The following is a 24643-nucleotide window of genomic DNA, read 5'->3' on the forward strand; positions in this document are numbered from 1 at the left end:
CCTTGATAAAGGAATGGCAAGGAAGCCAACCAACGTGGCTACAGTGGAGTGATCAGCAGGAAGAGTGGCAGAAAATGTCTGAGAAGTGAGCAGATGCTGCATATTAGGGCCTTGGAGCCCATAAGTGTGGAGAAAAGAAAGAGAGATCAGATTGTTACTGTGTCTATGTAGTAAAGGAAGATATAAGACACTCCATTTTGATCTGTACTAAGAAAAATTGTTTCTGCTTTGAGATGCTGTTAACCTGTAACTTTAGCCCCAACCCTGTGCTTACAGAAACATGTGCTGTAATGAATCAAAGTTTAATGGATTTAGGGCTGTGCAGGATGTGCCTTGTTAATAGTATGTTTGCAGGCAGTATGCTTGGTAAAAGTCATTGCCATCCTCCATTCTCGATTAACCAGGGACATAATGCACTGCAGAAAGCCACAGGGACCTCTGCCCAAGAAAGCCTGGGTATTGTCCAAGGTTTCCCCTCACTAAGACAGCCTGAGACATGGCCTCATGGGAAGGGAAAGACCTGACCGTCCACCAGCCCGACACCCATAAAGGGTCTGTGCTGAGGAGAAGTAGTGAAAGAGGGAGGCCTCTTTGCAGTTGAGGTAAGAGGAAGGCTTCTGTCTCCTGCTCGTCCTTGGGAATGGAATGTCTCAGTGTAAAGCTGACCATTCCCATTCGTTCTATTCTGAGATAGAAGAAAACTGCCCTGTGGCTGGAGGTGAGATACGCTGGCAGCAATACTGCTCTGTTACTCTTTGCTACACTGAGATGTTTGGGTAAAGAGAAACATAAATCTAGCCTACGTGCACATCCAGGCACAGTACCTTTCCTTGAACTTATTCATGATACAGATTCCTTTGCTCACGTTTCCCTGCTGACCTTCTCCCCACCTGTTGCCCCACTACACTCCCCTCGCTAAGATAGTTAAAATAATGATCAATAAATACTGAGGGAACTCAGAGGCTGGCACCGGTGTGGGTCCTCCGTATGCTGAGTGCCGGTCCCCTGGGCCCACTGTTCTTTCTCTATACTTTGTCTCTGTGTCTTATTTCTTTTCTCAGTCTCTCACCCCACCTGATGAGAAATATCCACAGGTGTGGAGGGGCTGGCCCCCTTCAATAGGAGTCCATAGGAATAACTTTAGATTTTATCCTATGTGTGATGGGTAGCCATTGAAGAATTTTGAGGAAAGGAATGATGTGATCCAATTTAGATTTAAAAAGAATCATTCCTCCTGATGTGTTTGGAATACACTGCAGCAAAGCAAGAGTGTCAGTAGAGGACAAGTCAGGGGGCTGGAACTGCCGGAATCTATGCCATAGCTAATGGTGCTTTCATCTAGTGGGTTAGTAGCGAATGTCAGGAGGAACAGTTGGATTTGGGATATATTTTTGAAGGCAGAGGCATCAGATTCCGGGGGGGTTCATGTAGGGTTTGCAGAGGTGAGTTTCCATGAAACTTAGGCTTCAGGGCCTGCCATTTGCACCAGCCCATCCAAATATGCATCTTTGTATCTAGTTTTGTAGTCTTTTACTTAATGAGAACCCCTCCCTCCCCACTAATGCATACAATTCAATTTCCACAAAATGGGACTCTTTCTCTAGGGTCTGAGAGTAAAGAGGATTAAGAATTATGGTTCTTAGGTTTTGGCCAGAAGGACAGGAGGAATAGTAGTGTCATTTCTAAGCCATAGTACTCTGGAAAAAGAACAGGTTGAAGGGGATGTAGAATTCCATTCACACCAAAAGAAAAAATTCTGTTCTGTTTGTACTAAAGTCTCAACCTCTCACACTGAAAGCCCAGAACTTATCCTACTCACCCAGGCTCTTCTCTCCCTGAAGCCCGGACTTCTGTTTGTAAAATTGTCTCAAGTTATAATATCCTTTCCTGCTCTTTCTCTTTTATTGACAGTCTACTCACTCTTCAAGCCTTACCCTTCCATAATAGTTAACTTCCTCCTCTATGTTCCAGGGATTGAAAACTGGAAGCAGGTTTTGTTGATTTTTAAAATTAAATGTGAATGCTTTAAATGGGGCGAGGATTCTCCTGTTTGCTTCGTCACAATCACAGATTCACGGTAGTTGTTTCAGTCCTAGAGCCATCTGAGTTTATGACCCATGACCTCAAATCATTTTGCTTACATTTCTCCTATAGCAGCTGCACACTGGGTATGTAATACATATTTAGCAAATCAATGAAGGAACAAATGCTGTATTTCCCACACACAGATACATTTGCCACAACAATAGTTTGGTCAAGGAAAGTTTTACATATTTTCATACAATTCTTTTCTTTTTAAAAATCATGTTCTAATGGGAGCAGTGGCTCATGCTCATAATCCCAGCACTTTGGGAGGCCGCGGCAGGCGGAGTGCTTGAGCTCAGGAGTTCGAGACTAGCTTAGGCAACACGGTGAAACCTCACCTCTACAAAAAATACAAAAATTAGCCGGGCATGGTGGCATGTGTCTGTAGTCCCAGATACTTTGGAGGCTGAGGTGGGAGGATGGCTTGAACCTAGGAGCCAGAAGTTGCAGGGAGCTGAGATTGTGCCACTGCACTCCTGCGTATAAGAGCTGTCTCAAAAAAAAGAAATTGTTTCCTCTTGTTCTTTTTCTCTGTTGTTGCATTTTTTTCTTTATGGAAAATGTAAGGCAGGAGAAAAAGGATGCAAGGGTAGAGAAAAAGACTATTACTCACCTGCCTGGTGATGTAATTTGACCTAATTTCAAAATGCCCTCTGAGTTTATTTTGTGATGAAGCAAATATTTCACACTAATACCATCAGAATAGAAGGTACGTTTTATCTTTCCCTAGGCCAGGGCTATGTGATATAGGTCAGTTTCATTTTAGCTAAAAAGGAAGAAGAATTAAATAAATATTTTAACTGTGGAATATTTGAACAATTTTTATTAATAAAATCCATCCCCAAGTTCAACTCATAGGTTAGATCTTAGTTACACAGAACAAGAATAAAGTGAATTTATTGTTTATTAGATAATGTTTCTAAACCTATTTGCTGTTCACAAATACAAACACGTGGCAAAGTCCATGGGCAGCTTCCACAGAGAAGGGCTGTGGTGAGACCAGATGACTCATTGTTTGTCTGATTTAGCAGCTGTAATACATATTCTTGCCAGTGTGTTTTGTTCCCACTTAATTCCCAACTTCCCATCTTCTTTCTAATGAAAAATCAGCTTTGAAAAATTACTCACCAAACTGCCTTCAGTGAGTCGAAATCTCACAAAGTAGCCCTGAATGATTAAGTCCTTTGAATGCTAGATTTTGCTAAGTTACCCCTGGGAGGCAGTCGTGGTGAGAAAAGAAACAAATGCCCAGAAATATGAACTGACATGCTAGACCATTTCTCCTCAGTGTATAATAAAATCAGGGTGGGGCTCCAGAACCACACTTTGATTTCCCACTTATCTCTCTGACCCTTCTTTTCAGAAATTATCTTCAAGAAAGTGTTTTGAGGTATCCAGACAAAAGGCATTGTGTAAACTCATGGTGCCCAACTCATCTTTGGTCTGTGTGTAGAGGAAAGGAAGAGTTATTCTGTGAGCTTCATGAAAGAAAGAAGAGAATCCTTCTACTCCTACTCCACTTGCTTATCTGTGGAGTTACAGCATATCTGACTTTTAATTAGTTTCTAGACCCTTTACTGCTCTGGGGCTATGGCCAAGTGCGGAGAAGGTACCATCTATCTCTGTCCAGTGGCTCTGACACCTCCTATAACTTTGTCAGAAGCCTGCTTGGCTCTATTCTCTTCTCTACAGCTCTCATTCCAGGGATGTGAAAATAGATACATAGAAGTAAGCTCTTCAGGTACCTCATGGTCAAAAGGCAAGACAGTAGAAACGACAAAGCCATTGCTTGTGTTCAGCCTCTTATGGAACGGAGGGAGTCTCTTCCCAGCTACCAGGGCTGCCATCATGGGCAGGAACGAGGCAGATAAGGTGCCTCTCCAAGAGATCCACCTGGCTTTCCTCCCTAAGGTGTGGAGACCCTGCCACAGCCACCAAGGAGAGGCACCCACAGATGCTCTCCTCAGGGAAAGCAGCACCTCCTCTTCTTTGTACAGACCTAAATAGTTCAATGATGGGGCAGGGCATATGGTTGGAGCTGACTGCACTGCCATTCCCTGCTCACGTTGGACTGCTCTGAGGCTCCTCAGTGGCGATTTCTGCCATCTCCAAGGGGTAGTCTATGAGTAATAAGGAGTTTTCTCTCCTTCTTACTTGGGAGGCAGCACTTCTTATTTCTTCCTGAAGTAAAAAAAAATTATACGTATGTGTATATATATGAGTATTTCTATATATATGTATGTATGTATGAGTCTGTTCTCATATTGCTACAAAGAAATAACCTGAGACTGGTAATTTATGAAGAAAAGAGGTTTGGTTGGCTCACAGTTCTGCAGGCTGTACAGGAAGCATAGTGGCTTCTGCTTCTGGGGAGGCTTCAGGAAACTTACAATCATGACAGAAAGTGAAGGGGAAAGCAGACACATCTTACATGGCCAGAGCAAGAGAAAGAGAGAGAGGGAGGTGCTACACATCTTTAAGCAACCAGATCTCATGAGAACTCTATCACTATACAGTACTCGTGGGATGGTGCTAAGTCATTCATGAGAAACTGCCCCCATGATCCGATTACCTCCCACCAGTCCCCACCTCCAGAGTCAGGGATTACATTTCTACATGAAATTTGGTTGGGGATGCAGATCCAAGCCATATCAATGTACGTTTATGTATATATGTATATTTATGTAAAAATTACACATATATATGTATATACATATATATTTATGTATACATGTATGTTGAAATATATAATAGGAATTGGATATTGAATTTATATATTATATATAAAATATATATTGAACATAATATATATTGTATAGATGAAATGTCATACACACATTTATACATTTGTGTGTGTGTGTGTGTGTGTGTGTATGTGTGTGTGTGTGTGTGTGTATGTTTGGTGGATTTTGATTTGCATTCTTGTCTATGGCCAGATAAATAAATACCTTTTTTCTTCAATAGAGAATAATACACTCAGATCAACAAGATGACTAAGCACCAAGGTCTGACTCAGCCTTTCTTAACTGCAGTTCTGTGAGAGAATTGTTTTCTAATACCCTAATGCATTTATTGTATGTAATGAATTAACTCTATGCATCTATAATGGTACTAGTTATGAATTAACTTGCATGTATGCATCCAGAATGGTACTAGTTATGTGCCATTCTTAGTACCATCCTTGGGAGAATTTAGATATAGCCACTCACATAATTTTCTATGCCCTGACCTCTATCAAAAACATGGCCCTGGATAGTGATGAGCTGTTCTCTCCATTCAGAAGGCTAAAAAAAGGTAAGCAATAGGATTGAAAAAAACAAAAGAAAGATTGCCTAGCTTCTGCACTGCTGATACTGACTTGACAGTTTCTTCTCCTCTCCCTTCTCTCTCTCACTTCCACCCTTTCCCCCAGGGAGAGGAAGGCTTTCTGCATAGACAGTGAAGCACCAGAAGTGAGGTGCATTTGCAGCATCTGAAAGTGTGCTTTGGAAGCATTCCAGTTCAGCTCAAAGTGAAATGTGTCAGATTCACTTGCCTAGAAAGAGACTTAAAACTATCCATGTACATAGAAATATAAAATGTACTTCATTTATGACATGTGCAAATGCTGCCTGTATAATCCAAACAAATAATAAAGGTCTGAAGAAGAACTGCTTTAAAATCTGATGGATAACGTATGTTTCAAGGAAGTAATGTATGCTTTCCTTTATGCACCTGACTCTTGGCAGCCCTGTCTGGCAGTTTCGTTGAACAAACGTTTATCATCAGTAAAATACCCATTCCTTCAATATGTATTATGTAGCTACTATGTGCCAGGCAGCAGGGATTAAATGGTATCATATATATAATGGTAGCTAAAAAATGATTATGATGGTAATAATAATAATATAAATAGTTGTTATTTGCCTCCCTAGAATTCCTTTTCCTTTCCTTTTTTTTGAGACAGAGTCTCGCTCTTTTACCCAGGCTGAAGTGCAGTGGCGCGATCTCGGCTCACTGCAACCTCCATCTCCCTGGTTCAAGCAATTCCCCTGCCTCAGCCTCTTGAGTAGCTGGGATTACAGGTGCATGCCACCATGCCCAGCTAATTTTTTTGCATTTTTGTAGAGATGGGGTTTCACCATGTTTGCCAGACTGGTCTCGAATTCGTGACCTCAGGCCATCTGCTGGCCTTGGCCTCCCAAAGTTCTGGGATTACAGGCATGAGCCACCATGCTCAGCCTGCTTTTCATTTCTTTAACAACAGATCCTGATTCTGATTGCAGATTCAGCCCTTGCCCAGGGGTTTCATTCACCTGGTTCTAAGGACACATGACTCAGGCCTAACCCATAGAATATGTTGCATATTCCTCTGTCTACAATCATTGATTCAGAGATGGCACACTACCTAATCTGGTCTAATCAGCATAAATCTCAGGACTTGTTTACAAGCTACTGGAAGAGATTCTCTCTTTTCACCCAAACAGTAGCCTGAGAACATACAGGGTGAAAGCTGTCCCAGCAATCTTGTCACTGTGAAGAGAGAGCCTGGAGCTTCCAGAGAAACTAAATGGAGACTGAAAATGAAGTCAAAACAGTGGGCAGCAAATTGAAGAGGGAGAGAGAAATTGAGTCCTAATGACATAGCCATGTCTGAAGCCAGCCTAGTCCCTGGGCCTTACAGCTTCCTGAGCCGATGAATTTGCTTTCTGTCCTAAGTCAATTTGAGTTTGGTTCTATGTCGCTTGAAACTAAGGAAGAACTAATTTATATAAATGATAATGCTGATAATAATAACACAAATATAGTAGAGGGGAAGCCAGTGAAAACATTATGTGAAGGGAAAAGTCATATCAGATACTAAGACCTTACAGTTTTTATAGGAACCTTGTCTTGACAAAAGCAAAGCACAAGCAAATAAGCCAGAGTGCAGGGAAATATTATTTAGAACTTCTGGCTCACTCTGTTAGCCAAATGGAATTAACCTTGGCCCCAGTGGGGTATATGAAACAAAAACTACACACAAAATACTACTGAGGAAAAGAGTCAATCTATAAAATATTTGAAGAGGTTTATTCTGAGCCAAATATGAGTGACCGTGGCTTGTGACACAGGCCTCAGGAGGTCCTGAGAACATTTGCCCAGGGTGCTTGGGGCACAGCTTGGTTTTTATACATTTTAGGGAGACATGAGACTTTAATCAAATACATTAAAGAAATATATTGGTTTGATCCAGAATGGTGGGTCAAAGCGGGTGAGGCAAGGGGGTGAGATTTCAGCTTATAGGTAGATTTAAACATTTTCTGGTTGACAATTGGTTGAGTTTACTTAAAGACCTGGGATCAATGGAAAGGAACATCTGGGTTAATATAAAGCATTGTGGAGACCCAAGTTTTTATTTGCTGAGGAAACCTTTGGCTACTAGGCTTCAGAGAGAATAGGCTGTAAAATGCTTCTTACCAGTCTGTGTTGATGTTAATGCCAGAGAGATATAATGAGGCATGTCTGATCCCACTTCCCATCATGGTCTGAAACAGTCTCTCAGGATCAATTTTAAAAGAGCCATGGCTGAGGAGGAAGTCCATTCAGATGGTTGGAGGTGAAACAGGAAATTTTCCTTGACCCTTTTGTGGGCCTTGAGACACGGGTGCCTTGCTTACTCAGCCCACAGCTCTCAACCCCTCATGGGAGGGGAAGCACACAGGTGAGCAGGTGCAAGAGCCAGAGTGAGTGCTTTTGCGCACTGGGAGGAGCAAAATTCCATGCTGGTCTCATGGCAGGGTCTAGTGGGTAGTACCTGCGACCCTGAAAGCCCCAGAAGGAGTGTTACAGGCAGCACTCTTTTAGCTTTGCCATCCATGGATAGGTTAAGTGTTTAACTGCTCAGTGAACCCTCTGTCTTTTCGTGAGGGTAGAGGGTCAGTGTGACAGCCTTTTGTATCCCGAGCTCTTGGACAGCATCCAGGAAAAACCAGGTCACACAAATGAATTGAAAGATAGTAAATGTGGAGGATCTTATTGCTAATGGAAGTGGCTCTCATTGGGTAGGGGAGCTGAAAAGGGGATGGAGTGGAAATGTCTTCTTCCCCTAAAGTCCAGCCTTCTCCAGCCTGCGGTTTTTATGGATGCAGGACGGGGGTCAGGGTGGGCCATGGGTAATTTTGCAAAAGGCAACATTCGAGCAGGAAAACAGAAATGCATGTTCTCACTTTGGGCTGCAGTTCCAGGCTTAAGGGTGGGGCTTCACCAGGGACCTCGCCCTTCTGCCTAGAATTTCTGTGCCTTCTGTCCCTATCAGGGAGGCCTTAGAATTTTATTTTTGGTTCATAATACTAAACCCCTCAGGTTCCAGAACAGTAGAGCACTTTCCTGGTCAAGCTTGCAAGTGCCTCAGGAAGAACAGATTTTTTAAAAAGCTAGATTCAGACTAGCTTTGTGCAACCAGTATAGGTAATTCTGTCAGGTACTTGCCTTAAAGCAGTAATGTCAAAATGATAAGAAAAACAAACTTTGAGTCAGAAATATTGGATATCAGAGACAAAGTTATACTCTCTTGCATCCCTGAAGTATACCCAAATAAATGATTGCTTGGTATCCCTGAAGTATACCCAAATAAATGATTGCTTGGTATGAAGGCAAACAGACCATTATTTGGACAGCCACTGTGTTCAATCAAGTTATGTTTAGACATAGTCCCAGTTTTTAACCACTAAAATGAATTCAGAAGTGCTGTTCCTCTTCCTATATGGCACTCTTACATATCATATAACTCGGGGAACAGCCTGGAGTGCAGCAGTTTATTTACTGTCTTTTTTATTTCCTTATTTTCAAATACTCAGGTCCAAGGCTTGGCTGGCTAGGACAGTGCTTATCAATTTCTTCACTTGGTAGATTTTCCCAAGTAATGAAAAAAGCCAATAACAGGGAGAGAACTTTCCTCTTGGTATTTTAAACTTTTAGGGGGTCCCCAAATTGCACTGGATTATCTGCCACTAATTAGAGATTAGGAATTGGTGTGAAGGGAGAGAGGGAGTGTCTCCACAGAGAGGTTACACCTTCCTTTAAAAGCCATACCACTGTAGATTTTGTGTATCACTTCATGGATGCCTAAGGATGGGCACTTTTCCTTTTAAAATCAACATTGTTGAATGTTTTCTATATTATTCTGTTGGTACCTACCCTCTAGAGCACAGTGTGGCAGACTCTATTTTCCAAAGATGGCCACAAAACTTTCTCTGGCAGTGGCAGCATAACCTTGCTACTCCCGCTTTAAGAACTGAAGTCTATTTCTCCAACTCCAGCCCTTCTCCCCTTGAACCCAAGTAGACCCTTTGACTGCTTTGACCAAAAGAATGTGGAAGTTACATTGTGTTAATTCCAGGTGTGGCTCTTAAGTGTTAATTTCCTGCATCTTAGAATCCAGCTGCCTGTGTGACTACTCTGAAATCCCCTTGCTGTAAAAAGCCTCAGGTCATGTGGAGAGGCCGTGAAAGATAAGACACTGTGTGTAAACAGAGAGGGTAAGGAGCCAGGCCTGTAGGTGAAGGAACCATTTTGGAACACCAGCCCAGTCCAGTCTTCAGATGGTTCCAGAGCCACCCACCATGTGACTGCAACTGTGTAAGAAAGCCCAAGAGGGAACCACCCAGCTGAGCCCAGTCAACCCCAGAATGATGAAATATAATAGTACGTTACTGTGTTAAGCTTCTGAGATTTGGGGGGTAGTTTGTTAGATGCACCAACAGACCAACAGATACCTAGAAATATAGGTATCATCATAAGCAACAGAAGCTAATTCTGGCTGAATGAAGCAGAAAAGTTTTCTGAAAGGACAGTGGGTAGCTCTTGAATCATCGTGAGGCCTGAAGATCTAGCTCTAGACTTTGCAGGAAAGAATGCTCAAAGCTATGACCCCAACCATCTGGGGAGCAAAGCACTGACATCGCCATGACAGATATGACCGAGAGCTCCTGGCCCCTTGGTTTTGGTGTTACTAGCTCCCATGCCAGACTCTTGGCATGGGAAACTGATTTACATTCAGTAGAAACCATACTTCGAGTAGGCATAAAATACTACAAATTTTCACTTTCAGTATAATTCAGTAAATCACAGAAGATATTCAATGCTTTATTATAAAACAGACTTTGTGTTAGATGATTTTGCCCAACTGCAGGTTAATGTCAGTGTTATGAGCATATTTAAGGTAGGTTAGGCTAAGCTATGATGTTCAGTAGTTTAGGTGTATTACATGAATTTTTTACTTATGATATTTTCAACTTACAATGGGTTTATCAGGATGTAACTCCATCATAAGTCAAGGAACATTTGTATACATAAAGGAATATTTATTTTGCATTATGCCATTTCTGCATTGTTATAATATTTGTCTCTCTGATACATCTAGTGTTCTAAAAAATTAACATAAAATTATCATTCACACTAAAATTAACAGGGCTTATGGGAAAAATAATATTAGAATCACATCTCTTAAAATCTATGCATATTTGTAACCAGGGCATCAACAAAAATGGGAACAATACTAATAAGAATATTAGCACAGTAAAAAAAAAGTGAAATTCCTAATTAAAAAAAAATCACAGTGTAGAGGCTGCTGAGCTATGGTGGCAAGGGCAAAATGCCCAAAGATTGGGAAAAACCATGTAATGAACACTTTCCAGACAGAACAGTGGGTAGAACTGAGCCAAAAATAAAAACAAGGGGTGAATGGACATCACAGGCACTACTATATTCCTCACTTGCCATGTTCAGCTGTGGGGGTACACTCTGGGACCAGCTACTGTTACTCATGGAGGAGAACACTAATAGGCTGGCAGAGTCCAACATGACTTCCATGTTGTACTACCATTATTCCACTCTTTAGCAATCCCATAGGAGCTAATATTTACAAAAACAGGACTGTAGCAGTCGCTCATGCCTGTAATCCCAGCACTTTGGGATGCCGAGGCAGGCAGATAACCTGAGGCCAGGAGTTCAAGACCAGCCTGCCCAACATGGCAAAACTCGTCTCTACTAAACATCCAAAAAATTAGCCGGGCGTGGTGGCAGGCGCCTGTAATCTCAGCTACTTGGGAGGCTGAGGCAGGAAAATAGCTTGAACCTGGGAGGCAGAGCTTGCAGTGAGCTGAGATTGTGCTACTGCACTCCAGCCCGGGCAACAAGAGCGAAACTCCATCTCAAAAAACAAAACAAAACAAACAAACAAAAAAATATATATATAGGACTGTAGCAGAACAAAATGTATGTCTGTATGTGTGTATAATTTCACATAACCTCTGCCAACTAGGTGTTATTATATTATTCTCATTTTATAAATGAGAAAATGGAAGCTCAGAGAATAAGAAATCACGCCTATTGCAAACAGATCTAAGTGTTAAGCTGAGACTTGAAGCTTGTACCGTCAGGTTTTAAGATCAACATTCTTTTTACCCCATCATGTGAAATGTTACTAAAAATCCAGCTTCCACTTTTAGAAATTTAGACCTACCTCTCTCCAGCCTCCTCTTGGCAAGCAGATATGGCCCTAATGAGACTGGACTTACATAGTCAATGGGGACTAAACTCTGATTTTTTTTTATCTTGCCCAAATTCCTATCTAAGGGGTCTGGGGAGTCATGCCCTACAAATAATAAATTCTCATCAGATGGGCTTTATTTAACCCTATATATCATGACTTACTTTCCAACCTGACTCTGGCATAACATTGCAAGACAAGGAAGAAAATCAAAATATTTTACACCAAAACGTGTTTCTTTGCCATGTTTTGAAATGGCCCTGCAAAGCTGTTCTTTGTGGGGAAAAATCTGTATCTGTAAAGAATCTCTATTAACATAGCTGGAAGATCTTTTTCTTCCAGACCTTCCCAATACTGAAGAGATTAACTAAGATCTCAATAGGAGACATTTGTCATCTATTGTTTCTAAGGGCAGCCACTATAAGACTTCAAAAGAACTTTGGTCTCCACAGTCTTTATCTTAACCTGAACATTCCCTTTCTATCAATCCCAGGTCCTTAGACAAACTCAACCAATTGTCAAACAGAAAATGTTTAAATTCACCTATAGCCTGGAAGCCCCCTGGCTTTGAGTTGCCCTGCCTTTCTAGATCAAACCAATGTATTTCTTACATGTATTTGATTGATGTCTCATGCCTCTCTAAAATGTATAAAACCAAGCTGAGTCGTGACCACCTTGGGCACATGTTCTCAGGACCTCCTGAGGGCTGTGTAACAGGCCATGGTCACTCATATTTGGCTCAGAATAAATCTCTTCAAATGTTTTACAGAGTTCAATTCTTTTCATCAACATCAACAATGTCTTTGAACCTGTAAACCAAAAATAAAATTCTAAGCCCCACCCCAAACCATCTGAATGCACTCCCTCCTCTCAGATAGGGCACTCCAAAGTTACCTGAAAAACTGGTTCAGGCAAGGGTGGAAAATTGGTGGGGGATTGGGAGTGGGGGTTGAACATGCTTCATTTTACCCTTCTATCTTTTGGCATTTGGGAAGAGATGACCTGCATTTAACATCAACACAGATTTTTTTTTTTTTTTTTTGCAGTTGCAAGATTTAATAGAGTGAAAACAGGGCTCCCATACAAAGGGAGGGGACCGAAAGAGGGTAGCCCTTGCTGGCTAGAATGCCTGGGTTTATATTCCGATCATTGTCCCTCCCGCTGTGCTCTCAGGCAATAAATGATTGGATATTTCCTTAGCTCCTGTTTTTGCCTAATTAGCATTTTAGTGAGCTGTCTTTACTACCTGATTGGTTGGGTGTGAGCTAAGTTGCAAGCCCCGTGTTTAAAGGTGGATGCGGTCACCTTCCCAGCTAGGCTTAGGGATTCTTAGACACAGATCTTAAGCCTGATAAGAAACATTTATAATCTATTATCTCTGAAGCCTGCTACCTGGAGGCTTCATCTGCATGATAAAACCTGGGACTCCACAACCCCTTATCATAACTCAGATATTCCTTTCTACTGATAATAACTCAACCAACTGCCAATCAAAAAATATTTAACTCTACCTACCTCTAATTGGAAGCCTTCCCCGATCCTTCAAGTTGTCCTGCCCTTCCCGGTAGAACAAATGTCAATCTTACATGTACTTATTGATATATTATGTCTCCCTAAAAATGTGTAAAAGCAAGGTGTATCCTGACTACCTTGGGTACATGTCATCAGGACCTCCTGAGGCTGTGCCATGGGTGTGTCCTTAACCTTGGCAAAATAAACTTTCTAAATTGATTGAGACCTGTCTCAGATACTTTTGGATTCACAAACCTAAAGATTGTTTCACATTGATTTCCTCCAAGGTAAAGACTTGGTTTCTTGGTTCCTTGCACCCTCCAGTGACAGCCTCAGCCTGCTCAGACCTGACTTCATAAGTCCATGAAACCAGCAGGTGACTTTTTTCTGCTTTGGTAGTTAGCAATTAAATGATTGCTGCTTTAGAAGTATAACTCTATTTTCCAAAGGGAGTTTCTAATCCCTTTGCATAATGTGATATTTTTCTTGTAGAATAAACATTTCCCACTTCTCAAAGATATCAAGAGAAAGAAAATTTTTCTATTGTAAGCATAGATCTCTTCTAATTTTCCTCCAATTTATGCCTAAACCAACTAGTTGAATAAATAAAAATGCCTGAGTGGAGGCCTGCCAAGGAGTGGATAAAGTTCAGTCTTCTGAGTCTAAAAGCACCCACCAAATACTCTACAGCTGATAACACTCAGTAACACTTAGAAGATGATGTTCACAGTCCAGCCAGTCAAATCAGGAGCTGCGATGGGCATAATGAATGAAATGGCTCCATGTTAAATGGACACAAGTTGGCAGCCAGATTTAAAACCCTTTGAAAACATTAACCTCCTGGCCAGGCCTGGATTAAAAGAGGATTGTTAACCATACTTTCTAACAAAGCTATGCAGCTGAGATATATTCACGGGAAGGGATCCGAGACTGTTACCACTGGATAAACTCCTACCACTTAGCAAACAAGAGTGATGAGTCATTTAGTGCATTACTTTTGCATTGCCCTAAATGATCCTCTCAGGGATTTGGATAATTGATGTCCTTCTTAACACTTGCCTTTGCTTAGGGCAGTGGCTCTCATTGTAAGTACGCACAGAATCACTCGGAGGGTTTGTTAAAACAAGATTGCTGGCTTTGCTACCAAGAATTTCTGATTCTATACATCTGGGGTAGGCCTGGCGAATTTGCATTCCTAAAAGTGCCCAAGCGATGTTTTGAGGACTACAGGTATATCTCAGAGATACTGTGTGTTTGGTTCTAGATAATAAGAGAATTATCACAATAAAGTGAGTCATACAACATTTGGTGTTTCCTAGCGCACACAAAAGTGATGATTACTATATTGTAGTCTGTTAAGTGTGCAATATAGCATTATGTCTAAAAAATGTACATACCTTAATTAGGAAATGCTTTATTGTTAAAAAAAATGCTAGTGATTATCTGAGCCTGCAATGCGTTGTAATCTTTTTATTGGGGGAGGGTCTTGCCTCAGTGAGGCTGCTAACTGATCAGGGTGGTGGCTGCTGAAGGTTGAGGTGGCTGTGGCAATTTCTTAAAATAAGACAACGTGAAGTTTGCCACATCACTTGACTGTTTCTTTCCTGAAAGATTTCTCTGTAGCACGCAATCCTGTTTGATAACATTTTACCCACAGTAGAACTTCTTTCAAATATGGAGTCAATCTTGTACATCTGCATCAGAGCTCTCGGGTGACCAGGTGCATTGTCAATCAGCAACAATATTTTGAAAGGAATCTTTTTCTTCTGAGCAGTAGGTCTCCACAGGAATAGGGCTATTACACTTCCTCATCCTACATGTTTTCACAGGAGTAGCACTTTTAATTTCCTTCAAGAACTTTTCCTTTGCATTCACAACTTGGCTAACTGTTTGGCACAAGAGGGTTAACTTTCAGCCTGTCTCATTTTAAACATGCCTGCCTCACTAAATGTAATCATTTCTAGCTTTTCATTCAAGAAATTCATTAAGAATTTCATTAATTCCCTGGAACACTTAGCAGCCATTATGGCTTTATTTCTTAGCCTAATTTAAACACTATTGTATCTCACAGGATAGGGAGGCCCAAGGAGAGGGAAAGAGATGGGGGAACAGCCAGTTGGTAGAGCAGTTAGAACATACACAACATTTTATCAATCAAGTTCACCATCTTATATGGTGATGGTTCATGGCATCCCAAGACAATTATAATAGTAACAGCAAAGGTCACTGATCACAGATCACATGACAGATATAATAGTGAAAGTTTGAAATATTGTGAGAATTACCAAAATGTGACACAGAGACATGAAGTGAGTGCATGTGGTTGGAAAAAATGGCACTGATAGATTTGCTTGATGCAGGGTTGCCACAAACCTTCAGTTTGTAAAAAAAAAAAAAAAAAAAAAAAGCGCTATCTGCAACATACAATAAAGTGAAGCTCAATAAGACAAGTAGGTTGTATTGTCCTGGAGAAAGCCAGAGCACCAGGAAGACTCCAGCTCCATTTTGTTCCAAGTGGCCAATCTGAGATAAATATTCTTTAAGCTTCTTTGAAATCAGTGGGTTTTCAAAGAAATCATCATTTTTTAAAAGCCATACATATTTCTTCGTATATGAGCTGCCTGTCTCTGTCCTAAAAACATTCTGTTTTCGTTATTTTAAAAGATGGAGAAAGAACAGACCCATTTCTGGCTACTAGAAGAATGCTTACTCTCCTCTCGTGAGTGCTAGCAGGCCTAATGTGTTTCCAGTTGTGTGTGGGAGTATGTGTGTGTCACAGAACAAAGTTGTTTTACTCGTGCACGATGTATATTCATATAGGAACAATTTGATAAAAGCATCTGTCATAAGAATTCTAAAGAATAGGCCGGGCATAGTGGCTTATACCTATAATCCCAGCACTTTGGGAGGCCGAGGTGGGTGGATCATGAGGTCAAGAGATTGAGACCATCCTGGCCCACATGGTGAAATCCCATCTCTACTAAAAATACAAAAAATTAGCTGGGCATGGTGGTGCGCACCTGTGGTCCCAGCTACGCAGGAGGCTGAGGCAGGAGAGTGGCTTGAACCCGGGAGGCAGAGGTTGCAGTGATCTGAGATTATGCCATTGCACTCCAGCCTGGTGACAGAGTGAGACTCTGTCTCAAAAAAAAAAAGAATTCTAAAGAGTATTCTTGCTTAATCTATCCTTTTTTTGTTAATTTCCCTGAAGTACTTTAAAGCAAATATCAGGTGTCTTCTCATTTCATCCTGCAAACTTTGGAATATCTCTTTGAAAACTATGGACATTTTCTTATATGACTGCAATGCCAATATCTTAATCAATGAAATTAACAATTCCTTGGTATCATTTGATAGCAGTTTATGTATAAGTTTCCCTGATTGCCTCAGTTCAACTACAACCCTTCCACCCCATCAGTTTGGAGTAGTCAGAATTTAAATAAGGTCTGTGCATCGCATTTGGGTATTATGTCTCTTAAGTATCTTTTAATATGGAATAAACCCTTCTCTTTCATCTTTTTCTTCTTTTCCTCCTCCTCCTACTTCTTTTTCTTACTTTTTAATCCCAATGATGTATTGGAAAAACAAGGTCAATTGTCTTGCAGAATGTTCTGTTGCATGGCTTTGACTACTTCTTGGTGGAATCGTTCCTCTACCCATGTATTTCATATAAACTGGAAGTTAGATCTACAAGATTGATTAAATTTAGGTTAAACTGTTTTGGCAAGAATATCTGATCGGTGATGCGGCACCGCACCAGGAGATCCATGTCTAGTGGTCTTGCTCTTAGAGATGTTGAGTTTCCAGTGAGTTCAGGTAAGGCCATCTTGATCCCCACTTTGTGCAATTTCCTGTCAACATATTGTCTCATGGTTTCACCTGTTGGTGATCATTCAGCAGAGCTCGTGGGTTCCTAGATAGATATCATGAAGGAAATCAGAATTTCCTTCATGGCTAGTGTCACCCCCTTTCCTCTCCCTTGCCTCAGCAGACTGCAGTGTGGGGGCATTGATGTCAATTAGTGCAGGGCAGTGGGAGTAGTCTAGGACTGGAGTGCTCCTATTTTGGAAGGTGACTTTCCAGCTCATTCCGAACTTCCCACCAGCACTGCTTTAAATGTTCCAAGATGGTGGGCAGTGTCACTTAAGGGTGCTTATGCTCAGAACATTATCTCATAGTATTTACTAGAACAATGAGTAATTGGGGGAGGTCTCCATGGCTTCCTGGTCACTTCATTTTCAGGATACTTTCTGAAGCAGGATATTTCTCTGGCCCCTTTGTGGGACTCACGACAGGAGTGCCTCATTTACTCAGTGTGTCGCTCTCAACTCCCCCCAGGAGGGAGCATGCAAGCGAATGAGTGTGGGAACTGGACCAAATGAGCACTGGAACCAGCCACTGCTTCAGCACCCATGAGATAAAACTCTACTCACTCAGACCCACTGTGTTCCACCCTTCGTGGGAGGGAGTGCAAGGTGAGCAGGTGCAGGAACTGGCCAGATGCTTTAGCACTGGCAGGAGCAAACTCTGTGCAGGCCCCATGGAGGGCAGAGTGCCAGTGCAACCGCCTTTTGTATGCACAATTGTGGCTTCCGAGCTCTTGTCCAGCATCCAGGAAAAATGAGGTTGCATGAATGAACTGAAAGATGATAAATGCAGGGGACTTTATTGCCAATGAAAGTAGCTCTCAGTGGGAAGGGGAGCTGAAAAGGGGACAGAGTGGGTAGGTAATCTTCCTCTGAAGCCCAGCTGTCTCCGGCAGGATGCTTCTCCGAAGTTATATGCCATCAAGCTGTCCTTCTGAAGTCAAGCTGCTTCTCTCCAATGTCCAGCTGTAGTCCTGTCTACCAGCTGAATCTGGGGTTTTTATAGGCACAGGATAGGGTGGAGTGGGAGCCATGGGTGGTTTTAGGAAAAGACAACATTTGAGCAGGAAAACAGGGGTATAAGTTCTCACTTTGGACTGTGGTTTCAGGCTTTTCAGCATAAGGATGGGGTTTCCCTGGGGACCCATCTTTTTCTGCCTAGAATTTCTCTGCCCTGTCCCTATCACTTCTATTATGTGCTTTGCATGTGGCAAACATACTTCTGTGCTGAGAATCTCAGCCACATTTCCCTATGTTCAGGGAAGTATTACATGTTTCCCAGGATATATTTGGAAGCTCAATACTTTCCTCTTCAATGCATAGTGGTTCCTGCCCATTTCCTTCTTTTACTTAACAATAAAGGGACTAATATGTCTGTTATTATTTTTTAATGTCAGGAAATCCCAGTTATTTCTCACAGTGGCAACTCTTTTTCTTTGGGAAAAAAACCAAGGTTCTCTAACAGTTGCTCTGACTATAACTAAACTGTAAAGATAACTTTTAGAGCTCATCGAAGAATTAAAGAGGCACCTCATTTGCTTATAATGCCTTTTATGTGTGGGTCACTGTACCTATTTCTGGAGGACAGAATTTGGTCTATAGGAACATGGTCAGGCCCAGACCTAATTCTGAGTAGGAAAAACATATCTTGGCCATGACCTTGAGCCCCCTGCCTTTCCTCCCTTCTCTTGTTCCCTCACCATTAAATGCTTGTTAGCTGCCTATATTGCTGCTCTTGACTTTCTGCTCTCATCACCAAGGCAGACAACTGGTTTTCTTTTCTTTCCATTTTCACTGCAGACATTGAAGTTCTGCAGTTTCCAGCAAGCAAATCGGGCACAAAAATAGTCTCCTCCAGTTGAGTAGGTGATGGTTACCTGGATGGGAGTAATACATAGGAGGCTTGTCACAAGAAGAAAAGTACCATCTTATAGGGCAGACAGTTGATTTATAAGCAAAGAAAATAAAGAAGGAATGCTTGCATGATTTTAGATGGACCAAAGGAAAATATACCACCAGGGTGCAGGGTGTCATCTCCTCAATTCTTTTCCTGCTCAGTGGCCTCTTCTCCTTTTTGTAAAGAGTCGTAACTTTCCAATTCACCAAGTATACCCTCAGCCTAGGATGATGGTAAGAAAGAGGATGGTGGGTTTGGGTGGAGGAGGAGGTTCTTACTCTCAGGATACTGGGCCTCTTTTCCCTAATCTCATGTCTGGAGCTCTCCATTAAAGGTCTGATCTCCAACTTAAACTGGACTCTAGATCTCTGGGTCTGAAGGATCAGCCTGGCTCCAATTAATGCTAAAGACCTGCCCTTTCCTCTTCACCCCTGGGCTGTGCTCTCTCTCTCTCCATCCATCCATTATCTATCCATCCCTCTATCCATCCATCCATCCATTTTATTGGGGCTGTCACTCTGGAGAACCCTTACTAATACACCAGCCCTGAGCCTGTTCTGCAAGGTGGTGTATGCAGGAGGGCCTGAGAAGCAAAAAGACTGGTTCCTATGTAAGGCTCCGGAATCCCTTATCCTTTCCTTTTCTCCTCATTTTGGGCTCCTCTCTTTTGATTATTTTTCTCCTATCTGCTCCATGAAAGGACACAAAACTCCTCCAAGGAGTGCTGGTAAGTGTAGGCTGGTGGAGCCTCCCCAGAAATACACAGAGCTGAGCATTACCCTTGAGGGATTGGGGGAGACCCACCATCCCACCATGTGCTCCATGACTTCTTTATGATAGTACCAGGCCTTGGGCCCATTGATCAGCTTGAAATCTGATGACATTGAATTGCTCATTGGGCCTGAATTTGGAGTTGCATGGGGCACCTCCCACAGAGCCTGTAGCCTAGTGGCCAAGTGTCTGCTAAGCTATGAGGGCAGCTAATAGCCTTGCCAAGGCCTACCTCACTAGGGTAAATGAGTTTGTTGCTATGGCAAAGTGTAACTGTCTTTGTGCCTATGAACTGTTATGTGAGCCTATCAAGGAATGTCAAGCTGTTTCCAGTTGGCCAAGTTCTATTCTGTCTGCCCTGATGCTTCAAGGAGATAAAAGACCTCGGCATTCTCTACAGCTTGCTGGATATGAATCATCACATGCATCCTGCTTTCAAGCAGCTGCTGCATAATCCTCTGCAGGCACAGGGTGGAATGCAGGCTTAGGACAAGAGAAGGAGAGCCGTGGGCAAGTACTATACATGTTGTCCTATGTCCGAAATTGGTGGACCACTTTAGTACTAGAATGTTTAATTTTACTTTTCTCAAGAAATAAAACATCCTAAGGCAGTCCTAAACCATTCTGACTTTTAAAAAGGAATAATAATGAATCTAGAAGAAGTAAAACTTCCACTCAAGTCTATACTTTTCCCACTAGGTTGAGAAGGTGGACAGGGAGGGGCAGTGTAGGCATGGGTTGGAGACAAGTTGGAAGGATATCATAAGGAAGAGAGGAAAAAGTGCATTTTGTATTGTTCCAGAAGCCAAAACAAAGGAAGAAGAGTTAGAAAGCAGCAATTTTTTCTTGGTATAAACAAATGTGTGTTTGTAAAAAAGGGTTTTTTAGTGTGGTAAAATATATATAACATAAAACTTACAATTTTCACCATTTATAAGAGCACAATTCAGGAGCATTAAGTACCTTGATATTGTGGTGCAACCATTGTCACCATCCATGTCTACATGGGTTTTATCTTTCCAAACAGAAATTCTGTACCCTTTAAATGATAACTCCCCATTTCCCTTCCCCCAGCCCCTTGGAATCACCATTCTACTTTCTGTATCTCTGAATTTGACTGTTTCAGCTGCCTCATATAAATGGGATCATATGATATATATCCTTTTGTGTCTGGCTTTTTTTTACTTAAGAACATCAAACATTATGATGTTTTCAAGGTCCATCCACATTATAACATGTGTCAGAATTTCCTTCCTTTTTAAAGGCTGAATAATATGCTACTTTATGTATATACTCAATTTATCTATTCATTTATCAATGGACATTTGGATTGTTTTTACTTTTTGGCAATTATGAATAATGCTGCAATGAACATGGGTGTACAAATATCTGTCTGAGTCACTGCTTTTAATTATTTTATTTTGGGCATTAAATATATTTTCTAATGAACTTAACTAGAAGAAAGATCTGTCTGCCCTTGAAGTGTAGAAATTCTCCTTTACTGGGGCTAATAAAGTTTCTGGAAAATGCCCAGCCTTGAAAGACACCAGAGAAGAGAATGCCATCTCTAAATAGGATATTTGACTAACCTAGTGACTCTTAAACCAGGTTCTACTTCTAATCACATGAGTAGCACCTAGAAATTATAGCTGCCTAGGAATCTGATGGACACCACATTAACAAGGTAATTAAACGTAACATCACAAATTATGAGGCAAACTGACATCATGTGTCTCCTAGTATGACATAGATCATTATTATACTGTAGCATTCTTGCCCAAAATGCTCAATCTGAATCTAATCATGAGGAAACAAACCCAAATCGAGAGACGTTCGGCAAAATAACAAAAATGTCAAGGTCGTTAGAGAAAAAAAGAAAAGATTGGGTTCTGTCCTAGGTTAGAGGAGACTAAAAAGACATGAAAACTAAATGCATTGCAGATTCTTGATTGGACCCTGAGTGAAAAACCAACTACAAAGGATATTATTGGAAAACTGGGAAACTTTGAACATGGATTGCTAGATAGTAGTATTGTTACATTGTTAAATTTCCTGCATGATAATTATATTGTGGCTATGCAGGTGAATATCCTTGTTCTTAGAATAAAAATGTGTCAATATCCTTTTCTTAGAAAAAAATGTGTCAACATATAAGGGTGGAGTGAAATTACATTTGCAACTAATTATCAAAAGATTCAAAAATATAGATGTGCGTGTGTGTGTGTGTGTGTGTGTGTGTGTGTATAGGCACATAAATATATAAAGAGATATAAAACAAATGCGAGAAAATGTTAATGACAGTGAATCTAGGTAAAGTTTATACAGTTTTTTAATTGAACTTTTCATGATGATGGCAGTGGCGGGCCATCTGGACCAGCCACTACCATCATGCTGGCTGCAGTGGTGAGGTGTGGACAGTGGCAGCAGGAGTGGCTGTGGGAGCAGCATTGGCAGTGGTAGGAGCCCTGTGTCCTGCAAGTTGAGGCTGAGCCTGGGTGTTGTCACAACCTGGCCAGGTGTACAGACACTTGGGACAGCGCTGACATGCCAGCCCCCTTCTTCCTTGGCTCCCTTCAGACTTTGGGTGCCAACGAGCATGGGAGGGAAGCCGAGGAGGTGCTAAAGGCAGCTCGGTGCTGGCCTGCCAGCGCCCCTCAGCACAAACAGCCTGGGCACCATGGATGATGGAAGGAGGCAGACAGGCTCCTGGGCAGAAAGGGGCAGGTCCTCAGTGAAGCCCCATCTTCAATCTGGGGAAGGCCTGAAGCCTGGGGGCCAGGCTGCCAATCATGCAGACCAGAGTGGGAACTTCTGGTGCTTTTTCCGGGCCCACCCACGGCCATCCACGGACCAATCTGCACGCACTTCCTCCCCTCTGAGGCATATAAAAGCTCCAGACTCAGCCGGATTCGAAGAGATGAGAGGATGACCAGCTGCAGAGAGGAGCTACCCTCTTTGCTGAGAGTTGAAGAGATGATGGGATAACCTGTCTGCAGAGAGGAGCTACCCTCTCTGCTGAGGGCTGAACACTCATTGGGACGACCTGCCTAGCAGAGAGGAGCTGCTCACTGTGGGTCTCCTCTGAGCTATTCTATTGCTCAGTAAAGCTCCTGTTTGTCTTGCTCACCCTCCACTTGTCTGCATACCTCATTCTTTCTGGATGTAGGACAAGAACTCAGGACCCACCAAATGGCAGGGCTCAAAGAGCTATAACCAAACAGGGCTGAAACACAGTCCTTGCTCACCATGTTACCGGTGACAAGAAGGAGAGAAGAGCTGCAGCCCTTTGGGGAGCCCAGACCTAGGAGCTCCCGGAGCCAGGGCTGTGTCACCTTCTTTAGGGCTCTGTGGTTCCTGGCATCTCCAAGCTTCTGGGCACCACCATGTTGCCCGGTGTCAGCCATGGAAGCTGCTTGCTGTATGCCTAGCCCAGCTGCAGCCTCACAGGGAGCCTGTGCCTGTACCAGCGCCTGGAGCTGCCCGCCCCACTGCCGCCCACATGTGTGGCTGTGTGCAGTGGCTGGACCCCACCCTCGATCACACACTCCTCGCTGCTCTGTGCCTGGTTTGCCCTTGGCAGGTGTAGGATCCAGGCCGGTAGCATGAGCTGAGCACAGCCTGCTAGGCCAAGCGGGCAGAATGAACCCAGTGGGCCCGAGCAAAACTCGGACAGAGGAACCACTGGCCACAGAGGTTTCCAGCTGGCAAAGTGACACCCCAAGGATCCCGTAACAATGTTTCTGTTGGGTTAAAAATTTTAAAATAAACAGCTAGAGGCAAAAAGACAGTTTCCTGAACTCTCTCTGAGAATCTGAAGCTCCTGGGGCAGGAACTTGTATTTTTGGTGGGACCATTGTGAGACCCTGAAGAGACCCACAGAGCACCAATCTGCAAGTCAACGTGTGGGAATGACTAAGCTCAGTGTCTTCCTTGGGACCTTTCTGATGTAAATTCTGGAATTTTCTTGAAAGCAGTATTTCTAAACAGTGGGGAAAAGAGGGATTATTCAATATTTGATAGGCTAATGAGAAAAAAGAATCTGGATGCCTACCTTTTACTGCAAAATAAGTAGCAGATGGGTCAGATGTTTAAATAAAATTTTTTAAAAAGCACCAGTGAAAGTACCTGAAGAAAATATAAAATAATCTTGAAATTCAATCTTGGAATGAAGAAGGCCTTTCTAAGGAAGAAATAAAACATAGAAACACAAACAATGGATAAAATTGTCTACATAAGTGTAAAAAAATTTCTTCACAGCCTAAAATACTTCAAAGAAATACAAAAGACAAACTACAACTAGGAACTATTATTAACAAAACAGATGGCTAGGGCTAATCTACTCCATATATAGATAAGTTTTACAAATCAAAAAGAAATAGCAGTTACCGAAAACCAGTGGAAAAATGGGTGAAGGATGAGTGAAGAGAGTTCATAGAAAAATAGGTACAACTACCTCTTACACATACTAAAGAGTTGGTCCGTTGCTACTCATAATAAGACAAGTAGACATTAAAATTAAACTGAGACAGCATCTTTCAATGTCTAGATTGGCAGTGTTCCTAAAGTCTGACAGAGCACTATTTTACAGAGGCTATGGGGAAACAGGCGATTTCAGGCACTGTTGGTAGGCCTGCAAATGATGAAGCCTCTTTAGAGGTGATGTCGGCAACATCAATCGAAACATTAAATGCACATGCCTTTTCCGCTCAGAAATTTCACGTCTAGGAATCTACTCAACAGATATTCATGTATGTGTGGAAAGATATAAGATAGTAACTGAAGCATTATTTAAAATCAAAGTCTAGAATAGCCTACAAGTCCATTAACAGAACATTAAATCAATATTAGAACACCTGTATAATGGAACATCTATATACTGTACATCTCTTAAAAATTAGCTGAATATGTGCTGATATGGGATTTTCTATAAGATCCGTAATGGAGAGAAAAGCAAGGTGGAGAACAGTTTGTATAGTAAGTGCCCTTTTATGTTACAAATGC

General features: G+C 41.9%; 1 long non-coding RNA gene across 1 annotated transcript, besides 4 other annotated features; it reads right to left on the reverse strand.

The window, feature by feature from the left end:
- Positions 11740-12241: an enhancer, noted in NCBI's record as "NANOG hESC enhancer chr5:114693885-114694386 (GRCh37/hg19 assembly coordinates)". NCBI's record gives its function as "activates a minimal SCP1, AML or CMV promoter by ChIP-STARR-seq in primed H9 embryonic stem cells {active_cell/tissue: H9 hESC(primed)}" and the evidence as "EXISTENCE:reporter gene assay evidence [ECO:0000049][PMID:30033119]".
- Positions 13789-14290: an enhancer, noted in NCBI's record as "NANOG hESC enhancer chr5:114695934-114696435 (GRCh37/hg19 assembly coordinates)". NCBI's record gives its function as "activates a minimal SCP1, AML or CMV promoter by ChIP-STARR-seq in primed H9 embryonic stem cells {active_cell/tissue: H9 hESC(primed)}" and the evidence as "EXISTENCE:reporter gene assay evidence [ECO:0000049][PMID:30033119]".
- LOC105379130 (uncharacterized) lies at positions 17754-23768 on the reverse strand. Its single transcript, XR_948686.1, has 2 exons — positions 23694-23768; positions 17754-18851 (listed from the first exon to the last, which is right to left on the reverse strand). It is a non-coding gene; the product is annotated as an uncharacterized LOC105379130 (long non-coding RNA).
- Positions 22808-23311: an enhancer, noted in NCBI's record as "OCT4-NANOG-H3K27ac-H3K4me1 hESC enhancer chr5:114704953-114705456 (GRCh37/hg19 assembly coordinates)". NCBI's record gives its function as "activates a minimal SCP1, AML or CMV promoter by ChIP-STARR-seq in primed H9 embryonic stem cells {active_cell/tissue: H9 hESC(primed)}" and the evidence as "EXISTENCE:reporter gene assay evidence [ECO:0000049][PMID:30033119]".
- Positions 23312-23815: an enhancer, noted in NCBI's record as "OCT4-NANOG-H3K27ac-H3K4me1 hESC enhancer chr5:114705457-114705960 (GRCh37/hg19 assembly coordinates)". NCBI's record gives its function as "activates a minimal SCP1, AML or CMV promoter by ChIP-STARR-seq in primed H9 embryonic stem cells {active_cell/tissue: H9 hESC(primed)}" and the evidence as "EXISTENCE:reporter gene assay evidence [ECO:0000049][PMID:30033119]".

The sequence above is a fragment of the Homo sapiens genome, chromosome 5 (genome assembly GCF_000001405.40).
Source record: "Homo sapiens chromosome 5, GRCh38.p14 Primary Assembly".
Classification (NCBI taxonomy): Eukaryota; Metazoa; Chordata; class Mammalia; order Primates; family Hominidae; genus Homo; species Homo sapiens.